Here is a 14,282-nt window from a genome sequence, read left to right as displayed (position 1 = left end):
CCTGTAGAGAGTGAGGCTGCAACAGGAGGGTCTGGGGCGTGGGACGCAGCCCCAGGAAAGGCAAGTGGCTGAGGCTGAGCATCTGTCGACTGTGGACTTGTGGATCTGTCACTTGTAGTTCCCTTTCTGAGTACACTGGCTGAACTCCAGGTGTGTGTAAATGTGGCAAAGTGACCAATCTGTGGATTTGTAAGAAATGTTAAGATTGGTTGGGAAAACTGTTCTATTTTTTATGTACATATCTGACCTAATTCTAGAATGCCCTTCAGACCTGCTCCCTCCCTTCCTGAAAGGAAGATCGAAGCCATCACTATGGATCTCCTAATTGCTGAAACCAAAGATCACATTTTCAGCCATTTTAACCTATGACTAATTATGGATCACTGGCATCTCAGGGACACCGCATGTCTTTCCTTGGGATGTGCCCTTTCTAATGGCCTGTGGTGCTGTGTGATCAGTTTTCTCCCTGCCCCTCTTTGTAGACTCACCCTTTCCAATAGACCCATGAGTGCTGGTGTTCCCAGGTTCTATTCTTGGGTCTCTACAAGATTCCTGAGTGGTGCCAGTCCCTGCCATGCCTGTGTCCAGCCTGACGGGCCTGCGCGCCTCTAGTGTTGGAAAGAAGCTGTGCCACTGCGAATACGGTGGTGTTTGCTCACCGTGCTGTGTAAGGCTAGATGCTTTATGGATACACATTCTCTTGTTTAATCCTGGGGGAGGTGTTATCCTCTCAGACACACGTGCAGATTCAAGGTGGCTGTCCTGCCCACGCCCTGTGCTAACAGGCGGCAGACACTGAGCCAAGACCTCTGGCCCTACACCAGCTGCCCAGCCATAGGGGTCCTCAAAGCTGTGTCTTTCTCCTCTGCTTGTGTCCTCCTCCCCTGCGTTTCCTAAGGTCATGCGGGAGGGTGGGGGGGGGGAGCGGAATCTGAGCCCAACTCAAGTCAGAAGCCTAGAGATCGTCCCAAGGCCCTCCTCTGTCACCTCCTATCCTCCCCTAGTTTCAAAGGCTCAGAGCTTCTCTAGAATTTCTAAACTGTATCATTCTCTTTGTGTCTCCAAGAACAGACCAGAGGACTCTTATCTAAGGAAACTGACAGCCCACCATGAAAGAGCTAAGAATTCTAGGATCAGGACTTCCCCAAGGACCCCATGACTGACAAGACAGCTGAAGGCCCAACCAGGCAGGCAGGTTTTTGGCCACCTTTTTAAAGCCCAGCTCCTACACAACACAAGACATTCAAGAATCACCAGGCATTGGAGGAAAAAACTGAAAATGAAAACAGACCGAAACAACCAAATAAACAGAAAAAGAAACTTGGTAAAAATAGTATCTACAAAGGACACTATGAAATAACAAAATAAAACTACTGACACAATTTCCTCAGAGATAGAAGACAAAGTGCTGCGGCCATGAAACAAAGACTTTCCAACAAAAAAGGAAGAGTCTGGGCTTTCACAATTTAGAAACAGTAAAATTAAAGAATTAATAGAAGGGATGAACGATAAAGTTGAGAAACCTTCCCAGAAAGTAGGGCAAAATGACAGATATTAAGAGAGAAAATATAAGATCATTACAGAACTATGATATAGTGTCTGACCTCTGAGAAGGGGAACAGAACAGATAAAATGGAGGGCAGAAAATCATCAAAGAAATCATTCAAGAAAACTTTTCCAGATCTGAAAGAAATAAATTAGCTTTATGTCACTGCTACCTTTGCAGACAGGAGCACTGGCAATGGGAGGTGGGGCTTGAGGGCTCTAGGGGCTGGGCCTCTCCCATGGGATCCTCTACTGGAAGCACCAAGAGGCTGGACTGCCAGGTGCCCCAGGACCACAGGGCAGCCACACTTGGGTCCTTTCAAAAGGAAGCTCACCCACCCCAACCTCCTTAAGAGTGGGGGAGAACACTTTCCTCACCACAGGTCAGAGTCACATACTCAAGCCTGTAGAGGGGAAATGACAGAGATGAGTTGGCAAATAAAAGACATGGAAAGTTGAAGTAAATGCAGTGAAATCTCAGTAATGCAAAATCTTGAACATTGGTTCTGAAGCGGAAGCTTCCAATATTGGGAAAAGATGGAAAGAGCTGTGTCTTTTAAGTGGAGAATTGGATGACAGGGGTAGGAAGCTCACTGACATAGAGGCAGCACACCAAAACCAGCTTCTACTGTGAAGGGAGGCTTAGCAGAAAGAGGCAAGACAGAAGGATTCTGGAAGAAGTTTCCAGAAAATTATAACAAGGCCACCTGGGAAGAAGTCAGACACCCTCCCACCCATTTTCCTCCTCCCAAGGATGCTAAGGATGGGACAGAAACTGTGGCGAAGACACCACTTGCACTTTCTGCTCAGGTAGGACGGTTTGATTGGACACTCTCTACAATAATGAGGCTAACAGTCAAAGATGAACTGAGGCAATCACACCGCCATCTGGTCAGGCCAATTTAAGTTGCTAGGATATGTGTTCTGTGATGGAAGGACTGAGGGGCCAAACTGAAAATTCTACAGAGTGCCCAGCATGGTAGGTAGAAACAAACCCACACTAAGGCCTCTCATCACAAAATTTCACACAAATAGGGACAAACAGAGGACCTTATAAACATCCAGGGAGAAAATATTGGTACAGAAAAGCATCGACAACCTGAAAAGCATCAGATGCCTGCCTGTAACAGTGGAAGCAGGGAGACAATGAGGCAATGCCTTCAAAATTCTAAGAAATTATTTCCAACCTAGAATTCTACAACCAGGTAAACTTTCAATTAAATATGAAAGTGTAATAAAGACATTTTCAGACCTGCAAGGCCTCAAAAACATATTCCCTATTCTCCTCTTTTCTCAGGAGAAGGAAATAAATCAAGAAAGAGGATTGTATGGGACTCAGGGCCCCAACTCCAGAGAGAGGGATAACAGCCACAGCTCACAAGGCAGGGTTGGGCCAGTGAGCAGAAGATATGTCGAGAAGATGAAATTGACAGGATACCTAATGTATAGGTATACTGAAATGAGATTTCTATAACTGAGAACTGAAATTATGATAAATGTATAGAAAACTAAATAAACCCACAGAAAAAAAAACAAGAATCTCGGGAAAAACAAATGATAAGTGAAAAAGTAAAAGTAATTATAATTATTTAGTTTAGCTGTGAACAGTGATTTCATGGAAATAGTACTATAAACTAAGTAAAATTAAAACCATTCGGGAGAACTGGGAAACGCAGTGAGATGAGAGGCAAGAGAGGAAATCCTTTGATGTCTATAGTGAGCACTAGAGGTAATTCCTAAAACAGAAAATAAAGACATAGCAATAGGAATATTATTTAGAAATACACAGATTATTAGGAAACAATCATCTGAAAAGCTGAAAGTATAAGTAGGTGTTTCTGGGAAACACAGAAAGGGACTGATGTGTTTTAAAAACAGCCTATAGAACTATTTGACTCTCTAAACTATGTGAATGTTTTACTTTGAAAAAATTAAACCTCAAATTAAAAAAGAGTAAGTAGGCTGGGAAATCAAGCTAATGAATTCTTGTAGGAGACAATGTTGAAACAGATGACATCTTTATACACTGTGAACCCAATAATGTAGATTAGTCAGTTGTTTCTTATGCATTTGTCTTTCAAATCATGTAGAAAATAAAAAGTGCAGTTACAAACCAAAATTATAATAATGCTAGCTTTTATAATTGCCCATATATTTATCTCTACTGGAGATTTTTTACTGCTTCATGTGGCTTCAAGTTACTGTCTAGGGCCCTTTCATTTCAACCTGAGCGATTTCCCTTTGGCATTTCTTGCACAGCAAGTCTAGTGGTAATGAACTCCCTCAGCTTATGTTTATTTGGGAGTGTCTCCTTCATTTTTGAAGGATAGTCTTGTCAGATAGATGATTCTCAGTTGACAGTGTTTTTTTTCTTTTGGCATTTTAAATGTATCTACCTATTGCTCTCTGTCCTCCAAGGTTGCTGATAAACTGGCAATAATTCTATTGAAGGTCCCTTGTAATCTCTCTGAGGAGTAACTTCTCACTCTCAGGATTGCCTTTGGTCCTCAATGGTTTGGCTATAATGTGTCTTGGTATGAGTCTCTTTCTAAGTTTATCCTAGTTGGAGTTTGTTGAGTTTCTTGGATTTGAAGATTTATATGTCTTTTATAAAATATGAGAAGTTTTCAGAATTATTTATTCTATTTCTCTCTCTCTTTCCCTTCTGAGACCCCTGAAATGTGTGTTGGTCCACTTGCTGTTCCCCAGGTTCCTTAAGCTCTGTTCACGTTTCTTCATTCTTCATTCCATTTCTCAGGCTCAATAATTTTCCTATTTTCAAGTTTGTTCATTCTTTATTGCCTGCTCAATACTTTATTGTTCTGCTTTTGAATTCCTCTGGTGAATTTTCATTTCAGTTACTGTTCTTTTCAGATCCAGAATTTCTTTTTGGATCCTATTTGTAATTTCTATCTCTTTATTGAGTTATTCTCATTTTGTTCATACATTTTCAATGGACTTTGTCCATGTTTTCTTTGAGCATCTTTAAGACAGCTGTTTTAAAGTCTTGTCTAGTAAGCCTGATGTCTAGGCTTCTTCAGAAATACTTTCTGCCATTTATTTTTCTTTGTTTGAATGGGCCATACTTTCCTGTTTCTTGTAGCCATGTGATTTTATTGTTGAAAAACAGACATTTGAATCTTATAACGTTGTACCTCTGGAAATCAGATAATCCTTCTCCCCTTGGGTTTGCTTTTTGATTGTTAAAGGGTGCCTCTGTGGTGAAGACCAGCCTGAGGGAAAAACTTCTCAGTTCTCTTAGGTCTTTTCTGAGCCTGTCACTGCCCTGGCCATGTGCTGTGGCTTTCTAAATTTTCCCTTATATATGGTTGCTCTTGAATGTCCTAATCCTTAAATGCCTGACTCCCAAAAAAGCGAAAACAAATCCACAGAAACCCACAGGTATTACTCCTTTAGATCCCATGGAAGGTGCTTTAGCCAGTGTGGGCAGAACCAATGGTGCCCAGTCTCTGTTCGAACTCAGTGATCCAAAGCAGCAATCACAACACGGAGCCCTGGTATTTGGAGAACAAGGTCCTTAGTGCTCATCCTGGCTCCAGCAAACTGCACCAGGAATGCGTGCATGGCTGTCTACCATGCACTTGGGAACCAGGCATCCAAAACTGATGGAAACTAACCATAACTTACCAGGCAAGCTTCCCCTTAGAAGCTGCAAGTTGTCAAGTAGACTCCCGAGTTCCAAAATAGTTACTTTGGATAGTTTCTGCCATTTTGTGCCATTTTTGTCTAGGTGGGGATATGGATCTCTGGTGCTTCCTGCTCTGCCATCTTCTCTGATATCATTCCCCTCCCATGAATTTCTTAAGGTAACACTTCTATTTCTAAAAGTAATTTTGGTTTAGATTTCCTCAGTAAATATTTTTAAATGGTGAGTCAATTTCTAAGTGGAAAAATGTTTGCTTTTTATCCTTTTGTTGTTGATTTATCATTGTATTTTTTTTTTTTTTGAAACAGAGTCTTGCTCTGTCACCCAGGCTGGAGTGCAGTAGCGCAATCTTGGCTGACTACAACCTCCGCCTCCCGTGTTCAAGCAATTCTCCTGCCTCAGCCTTCCGAGTAGCTGGGACAACAGGCGCCTGCCACCACGTCCAGCTAATTTTTGTATTTTTAGTAGAGACAGGCTTTCTCCATGTTGGCCAGGCTGGTCTCAAACTCCTGACCTCAGGTGATCCACCCACCTCGGCCTCCCAAAGTGCTGGGATTACAGACGTGAGCCACCGCTCCTGGCCTCTATTGTCTTAAGGGCAGAAAATAGGCTTGTGTGATTTCAGTAAATTGGCTTTTCAGTATTTTGATTGAGGTTTACTTTGGGGTCTACTACATGGTTAAATTTTGTGAACTGTCCATTTGTGTTTGAGAATATTAATAAAAAGGCATCTATTTGTTCTGTATATTTCTATTAGAATAAGCTTGTTTACTGACTTACTCAAATGTATGTCATTTCTTTTGGTTTACAAAATCTTTTGATTTCTGAGAGTGAAATGCATGTTAAGTGTCCTATTACTGGGTCTATTTCTCCTTGTATTTTGCTTGTAATTTTCATTTATTATGCCAGATGCATGAACGTTATGATAAAGACCTTCCTTTTATTATTTACTTTTCTTCTTTTAATGTGCATGCTTAACATTTTAGCATACATACATAAACTTACATTTTTCCAAAAACATCCAGATTTAATAAAAATTTGTATCCTTTCTAAGCAAGGTAAGAAATTTAGTATGCTTTTATTTTTCTTTTTACCTCATTGCCCTCATTCATCTCTTTCCTTGAAATAATATGGAAATTTAGTCTCCAATTGTTTGGCTTCTTCACTTTGGGTTAATAGTTGTTTAGCAATGACTGAAATTTTACTAATTTCTTTACTCAACATTGTTTCTCATTGTCCATGTATTCCCGTTAGATGTGCTCATTTTGCTATCCACTTTCTCTTGGAAAGGCTCTATGGGTCAAAGAATTTCTGATTCCTGAAAATGTGTTAATTTTTCCTTAGTGTAGAATGCTAATTTGGCTGACCTTAGGATTCTGGGCTCAGCATTATTTTTCTATAAAGGTAAAGAAACATGATGTGGCTGCTGGAGTGAGAAGCAGGTTGCAGAGGTTTTCTGTAAGATGGGGGGGACAGCATGGAGAGGACACCGCTGATGACTCAGGGGCAAGGGGCTGTCTGGGGCTGTCTGAGCAGCTGAGGGACCCTGGGTTCACAGCTGGAGAGACGGCCTTAGGTAGGGGCAGAGTCAGCTCATCCATGTGGTAGGTTAAAAAGTAGATACTCCCTCTGTTGTGGATTTGTCTGTTTCTACTGGTATTCTGTTTATGAATTCTGACTTGATGATGCAGATGCTTGAAGGCTAGCAAACAGGGCTGTGAGAACTTACAGAAAGCAAAGTTGTCACCTGTGACTGAGGACAGGAGTAGTGCTGGAAGGCTGAGCAGAGGACACGAACCAAGTATCTGAAGAGCGCAGGGGGAAGTGGGGAATGGCCACCGGGCAGTACCCAGGGCTCACTGGATTTAAGGTGGGACCAGTAAGGATGACTGTGGGATTTTCTCTAGCCACATTCTAAAAGCAGAGTTGGATTTAACCTAGGTGTGTGGTTTTACCACATAGATACAGTAAAATGAGAGAGGCAATGTAGTGTATATAAGAAAGTCACTTCCATTGACCACGGAAGTCAGCAGATAGGGTAGAACAGGTGAGGAAGGGACCAGGAATGATGACAGGCACTCGGCTGCAGTGTGCTGGGTCAATGCACCAGCTCCTGTCTGACGGAGGAATCACCATGTGCCAGAGGTAATGACCTGTGTGGCTGGAGAGTGAGTATTGGGGACTGAGATTGCGAAGGAGTTGAGTAACTGGTAATTACAAGGCCAAAGGTGGAGAACAAGATCACTGGGAGGGGACATCAAGGAACTGAGAGCAGGGCACCAGAAGGATTAGCTGCAGGATACTAAGGCTGCCAGAAATTATTACAAGAGTCATACTGGGAAGAGTGACAGCCAGGAACCCAAAGGCCAACAGGGAGGACTGGTGGGTGGCAAGGTTGGATGATGAGATTCCAAGTTTGTGGCTTTTATGGAGAAGGGGAAATGGTGTGTGCAGCAGACCATATTTTCCAAAAATGGCCATAGTAATACTTCTGGTCTCACATGATTTCCTGGGACTCTGTCCTGCTTGGCCAAGAGGAAGCAGCTACTTCATCTCTGAATTTGGACTGGTTTTTTTTTTTTTTTTTTGTTTGCCTTGATGAACAGGATATGGCAGAAGAGATGCTGGATGCTGTGACTTCGGAGGCTGGGCTATAAAGAGTAACATGGCTTCTACCTGGCTCTTTAGCCTTTGGAAAGCTTGTGTTCAGAATCCAGTTACCATCCAGTTATCAGTTAACTAGTCTTCAGGACCAATGAGAGGCTCACATGGAGAGACACAAGCCCCATCTAAGAGCCAGCATGAGCCAGATACAGGCGAGAACGAAGACTCGTCTGACTCCAGGTCTTCCAGCCAAGCCCAGACGTGGGAGCCGGGACAGGTGGTGCCTGCCATGCCTTGCCTGGACTCAACGCCCAGAATCTATGAGCACGATCGAATGGGTGTTGTGCACCACCACGTGCTGAAGCAACTACAACAGCCTGGAAACAGGCCAAGAATGTGAGGGGTGTCGGCTCTATGCACCGAGGAATGGGGGAAACACCAGCTTTCTGTGAGCAAGAAGGTGCAGGGAACGGTCAAAGAAGGGGTGGGTGATGGTAGATTTACGTGGAGTTTCAGGAGTCAGTGAAGGGAGACTGCCGAGCCGTGGCCATGGTGGCAGCAGGGAGATGTTTCTGGGGCAGGCTCACCCTTCCCCACATCCACATGCTGAAATGTCTTACAAATAATCAGAGAAATGTGAAAGTATATTAGTTATGAGTAATAAATATATTTTGCTTTATTTTCAATTTGATATATGGAAATTTCATCAGAAGACTTGACTGCAGTGTTACTTACAACTTAGAATGACAAAAAATTCAGCTCTCTGGTTTTTCAAAGGTAATAAAGATTATACTAACTCAATGGCTTAAATAAGAGCTTGTTAACCAAACACAAATATTTTACTGACAAACTAGAATTTAGGTATTATGAAGGAGAAAACAATTTTCACAGACACCCACTCTCTTAGTCTAAGGGATGAGGAATTTATTTCAAAGTTATACAAGTGCAAAGAAATAGATCTAGAAGCAGCAGGGGTTTCAAATGAGCAAAAATGGAAGAAATAGAAAGTTAATGTTTACTGACATAGGGAAATCCTCATAAGAGGAATGAAAAAAATCGATTTCCAAAGCTAGGAAAACATGTGGGTCCTACAAGACTTGCACGAAAAATAATTAGATGTAAATGTTCTTAAGAAGAAACCGAAGGGAGCGGTTAGGATATTTCAAATGTAAGAAATACAAATGTAATAAGATACCTAGAGACCATGTCCCTTTTTAATAAACACTCAGGATTTTAAGGAAAGATGATGCCTTGGAGCTCTGTGCCTTTGGCCCGTTGGTCAAGGTAATTCGTCAAGTGCAGGCACACAAACTGGCCTGCAAGCACGTTCAGGGGCTTATTTTGTTTTTAAAGAGCAACAACCAGAAGGAAATGTCTTTAGGTGCCAGGGGTGAGCACCTCCTAAGAACACGGGGCATCTTCAGAGCCATGGCATGGCCCAGCAGGAGCAGGGGTCACCACCAGCTTTTCTTCTCCTTTCTCAGGTGGAGACAGACATAAGTTCGAGGTTTCTGGAAGACGGCTGCCCACAGAGGGCTTGCCTTCTAACTCCTCATTTGAATCTTTTCCATCATCAATACCCTGGCCATTCCTTTTCCCACAGGTACAGCTCAGTACAATCTGGGGCTTAAAATTTCAATTCTTTGGTGACCTGAAGATTCTTCCATGAAAAGGATTACTCTGAACTTAATTTTTTTTTTTAACCAAAAGTCCTTCAATGCTCAGAGATAAAGAGGAACAAACGTGCCATTCACTTGTGGCATCATAAACCAGGCCTGATGGCAGCCCAGCCGCTGGCTGCTCTCAGCATGCTCTCTGTGGATTTCCTGTGTGACTGGATGGAGGGCCAGGCTTGTCTTCACAGGCACTGCCATAAAAAATCCTGAGCCAGGCCCTGGCAAAATGAAACGAAAGGGATGACCCCACAGAAACAGACACAGGAGTCACACACATGCTGTCATGTCTCCCAGGCAGAACCCTCCAGGCAGAATTAACTCTTCCACCAGAAAGATGGGAAGTTAGTTGTTACTTTTCTATTCAAACACTTCTGAGGACCAAGAGAACACATAGTTGGAAACTTATGTTTGATTAGAATTTCTGATTAGAAAAGAATTTCTGAAATATCCCCAGCTTCACTTTCTGTGGTTTCGGTTACTCATGGTCAACTGAAGTCTGAAAATTAAATTAAATGGGAAATCCGTTTTAACTTGCTCGCCATTGTGAATAGTGTGATGAAACCTTGTGCCTCCCGCTCTGTCATGCCCAGGACATGAATCAGCCCCTCATCCAGCTTCTCTGACCATTAGTCACTTAGTGGTCTTCTTGGTTTTCAGATAGCAAGAAGGGTGATTACAGCACGATATTTTGACAGAGACCACATTCACATAGCTTTTATTAGTTATTGGTTGCTGTTAATCTCTCACTGTTCTTTGTTAAGCTTTATCATGGTATGTACGTAGAGGAAAAAGCCAAGGTATAGATATGTAGGATTCCATACTATCCAGTCTCAGGCATCCACTGAGGGTCTTGGGATGTCTCCCCCGCAGATAAGGGAGGACTACTGTATAGTGTTTTCTGACTTTTTAATAACAGGAGATAACCCCTCATAATCTAGTGTTGCTAATAAAAAATCAGAATACAACAGATTCCCATTTATTTTAAAATGAAATTAGCTAGGCATCATATATATGAATGAAAGATCAGAATGAAACACATGAAGATGTTAACAATGATTGTTTTGGGCCACAGAATCAGGCACAAGCTCGGGAGAGAAGCCAACAAAAGCTCTTCTGCACAATGGGAGGGAGACACCATTGAAAAAGGCATCGTTCCTTCTTCATGCAAGCGAGGCCTGGCTCCCACAGGCATGGTCTCCTTGCAGCTGCAACAGCAGAGGAGGGCGCTGGCAGGGCTCTGCGTCCAGGTGTGCCTCTTTTTCTCTCCATACTCTTTCTGGAGGAAGCAAGAGTGTTTTGAAACCAAGTTAACTCGGCACCAGGTCAGCAGGATTCAATATCTGAGTTCTGTTTACTTTGGTACTTGATATGGAAGATTTATGTTATTAAGACAGACATGTGACTGATTTCTTCTGGAGATGCAGGTGATGAACTTACCTGGAGGTTGACTAGTACCTTCTCCACTGGTCATGCTCATACTGTCTGCTTCCTGCAGTAAACAGACATGAAAACCAAAGTAAGAATTAAATCTCTCTCAATACACAAACAAGAATGCTGCACATTTCTAAGTATGAACAAAGATGCTGAGCTGTATTTGGAGGACACAGCTTTATCCTCTTTACAGTTGTGGCCACATGCCATTAAAACTGTGTTCCATAATTATTCCATTAAAGTGGAAGCAATTAATTAAGAGGTTCGTGGAAGGAAACAATGTCAAAGTTGTTCCTCTTCACACCAGCTCCATCCATCTGCGTGATTTCTAGGCATTTACTATTGCTGACGACTTTTGGAAATGGAAATTCACATGCAGATGGCTCACCATGGACGTTCTGCCAACACAGAAAAGCCCACGTGCAGCTCTTTCTGCGGCTGGCCCAGCCTGGGTGGCTACTGTCTGCCTTTCTGATAGACAGGGAACGTTGGGAAGAGACTCGGGGCAGAACCTCCCTACTAGTAGCAAAAACGGTGACAGTTTTTCACATTTTAAAAATAACACTTTTCTTCCAGAGTTCCCTGCTCTGAGTTATCTTCTGGTGTATGACGGCAAGAGCCTTCACTTGCCGTGACTGGGGATGGTCTCCATGCCTCTCCTCTGACCCACTCCTGCCGTGGGCAGCCTGGGTCTCTCCCCTCCCCCAAAAGTGTGGGCTCCGGCAGAAGGTGTGAAAGGAGAGGGCTACAGCCAAAGTGAGGTTTCCAGACCCTTGTTACTCTGCCCCCACCCTTGTTACCACAGATGATCACAGCAGTTTTATGGCAGGCCTCCTACAGAATCACCACAGAGAAGTGACAATCTGGAAAATCACAGGCAAATTGTAGCTATGGACTGTGGAATTTAACACGTCATCTCTTTCCAGCGGGGCTGAGCAACAGCAAGGAAGAGGTTAAAGCCTTCTCACTTGAGCAGCCTTTGTTCTCGGGGCAGCTGCCTGCACTGAGCTCTGAGGCCTTTGAAGTGGACCAGAGAGTTCAGGCCAGGCTCCCCAGGACCCCCTACCTGTCCACACACTCAGGCTCCAGAAACTTGACAACTTTTGGCAGTGACTGAATACTTTCATGAAGAGGCATTTTTAGTTTTTTTACTAACACAAGAAATTTTACCTATCAATTGCCCTGGAAATAGTGACAACTTTCTACTTGAACTACTTTAATATCTTCAAGAAATACCAAAAGAGGAGTTGAAGGTAGGCAAAACCCAGGAGAAATGTGCTGCCCCAAACTCCCTCACAGTAATTACAACTGAAAAGGTGGATTACTTGGTCTGAAAAGCAGATTCCAGTCCTGATGAGAGCAGTGTGTGTGCATGTGTGTATAACATACACTTTATACTGGAATCTCTGAAATTAGAATACACACAGGCACCACTAATATCACTTTTGTAACTACTTCCGCATGGAAGGCAGAATGCAAATGAAATATAGCATCCTTGCTTCTGTCTTGCAAGAACGGCTTAATTTCTCCCACTCTCATTCCTAAACTCTTAAATCTGACACAAACTCAGCATTTAACATCTCAATTTTGCCTTTAACCTAAGAGTCTCCCAGAGCTACTTTCTGGCCCCAAACCCACACGCATCACCACTCTTTGATTTCTGTGTTACTGTTATGATCTACTCCAATAAAGCAGGGATCTTCTTCAAAGACCTATTTATGAAACTAGGGCACAGCCTTGAAGTGGTGTTAGGCTCCAGCTGCTGAGGTCATTACAGTTTTATTGTTTCTAAGTGACCAGAACAGAAGTGGTAAAACATGCTCCCTTAGGCCTTGCACCCAGACTGACAAACATTCCTTCGAGTTCCAAATCATTCCTGAAATTCAAAGTGGTCCTGTAGGTGGTGAGAAGGGAACCCTACACCTGGAGTTCACGCCATGTAGCCCAACTGTCTCCTCCTTTTTCTGGAGGGCTGTGGGCTCCGCAGAGCCCGGGAGAGCCCACTTCACTTAATAGTGACTTAGGAACGAGGCGACAGAGACAGGTGTGGAGCTGCTCTCCTGGTCACGCGTGCTTCACTCAGCAGGGCCAGCGTGCCCGCACTGCTCCTGTGCCCACTGCTCACATCTCCTCCGTGCTCCTTTCTGGGTCAGGAAGAGCTACTAACTCACTTTGGTTACTTGGCTTTTTATTTATATTTGTCAATGACATCCTAAAGAAATGTATGTCAGAAATGAAGCTTGTGCTAAAGTGGTACTTACAGGTGTGCGTACTAGATTTAAAAGCAAATTACTGGGCATGCTATGGAAAGCTTGGCAAAATGCAGAGTCTAGGGAGGACCTCTGCCACCCCCACAGCCTTGCGGACCAGCTCAGGGATTCGGGAATCTACAGGAAGCAAATATTAAAGCAAGACTAGATTTAATATTTAATATTTAAGAGGGCGCACAAACAGGGGCCTTCGTCTGCTGAGCCTGCCTCCTTAGGTCCATCCTGGGACGTGCACAGCACCCTCAGCAGTGGGAACACAGCAAAGATGATGAGGGACTGAAGCGTGGGACACGCAGGGTGCAGGGCCCACAGAGCCCAGGGCGCAGGGAGTCCTGAGGGAGGATGGCATGTTCGGGGAAGAGAGAGTGCCTCTTGGGGAGGCCTGTGGCCACTCATGCATCCAAAGCCACACAGATGCAGGCTGCGGAGGCAGCCCTGGGTTGTTTACTACAGGCTGAGTAACCCCTTTCTGAAATGCTTGGAACCAGAAGTAGTTCAGGTTTCAGATTTTTTTCAGATTTTGGAATATCTGCATTATACTTACCGGGGTTCAGCAACCCTAATCTGAATATCCGAAATTCCAAAATGCTTCAAGGAGCATTTCCTTTGAGTGTCCTGTTGGTGGGCAAAAATTCTGGACTGTGGAGCATTCTGGATCTCAGACTTGGGATACTCAGCCTGTATAAATTTTCTGCTTCCTATCAGTAGCTTATACTATTACAGGCAGAAAGAAGTAAGAAATAAGCACTCCTGGAGATACTGGCGGTGCCTGTCCTGGCTCCTGCAGGGGACAGCGGCCTTTGCTCCCTCCCTCCCTGCTCCCTGGCCCTTTCTGTCAGCTTCTATCCTCAGAGCCTCTCTTCTCTGCCAGCTTCTGGACGGCCTCCTTCTCCAGCTCAGTCCTGATGGGACACTGCCTCTGTCTGTCTCCTGCCAGCCCCCCATGTCCTGTCACCCCCAAACCTGTGTCCATCTGAGGGCTCTCTCCTCACCCACACACCAGCTGCTGAATGCCACTTGGAGACCCCTCAGGCTTAGCTCAGCCTGCCCCAAGGAGCTGCCATCAGGCAGGACGAGGAAACCATGGTG

General features: G+C 43.9%; 1 protein-coding gene across 5 annotated transcripts in view, besides 1 other annotated feature; it reads right to left on the bottom strand.

The window, feature by feature from the left end:
- Positions 1–8,463: 8,463 nt before the first annotated feature.
- The window catches only part of FAM120B (family with sequence similarity 120 member B), a 116,365-nt gene continuing 110,546 nt past the window's right edge, over positions 8,464–14,282 (bottom strand). For all 5 annotated transcript variants that reach the window (NM_001286379.2, NM_001286380.2, NM_032448.3 and 2 more), the window contains 2 exons: positions 10,930–10,981; positions 8,464–10,768 (listed from right to left, as the gene is read on the bottom strand). In NM_001286379.2, coding sequence (NP_001273308.1) covers positions 10,941–10,981 — 41 coding nt within the window. In that variant the 3' untranslated portion in view covers positions 8,464–10,768; positions 10,930–10,940. The remainder of the gene's footprint in view (positions 10,769–10,929; positions 10,982–14,282) is intronic.
- Positions 11,586–12,180: an enhancer, noted in NCBI's record as "NANOG-H3K27ac-H3K4me1 hESC enhancer chr6:170712439-170713033 (GRCh37/hg19 assembly coordinates)". NCBI's record gives its function as "activates a minimal SCP1, AML or CMV promoter by ChIP-STARR-seq in naive H9 embryonic stem cells {active_cell/tissue: H9 hESC(naive)}" and the evidence as "EXISTENCE:reporter gene assay evidence [ECO:0000049][PMID:30033119]".

Source organism: Homo sapiens, chromosome 6, assembly GCF_000001405.40.
Source record: "Homo sapiens chromosome 6, GRCh38.p14 Primary Assembly".
Taxonomy (NCBI): domain Eukaryota; kingdom Metazoa; phylum Chordata; class Mammalia; order Primates; family Hominidae; genus Homo; species Homo sapiens.
The sequence above is the reverse complement of the archived record's forward strand: the minus strand, read 5'-3'. Positions and strand labels throughout refer to the sequence as shown.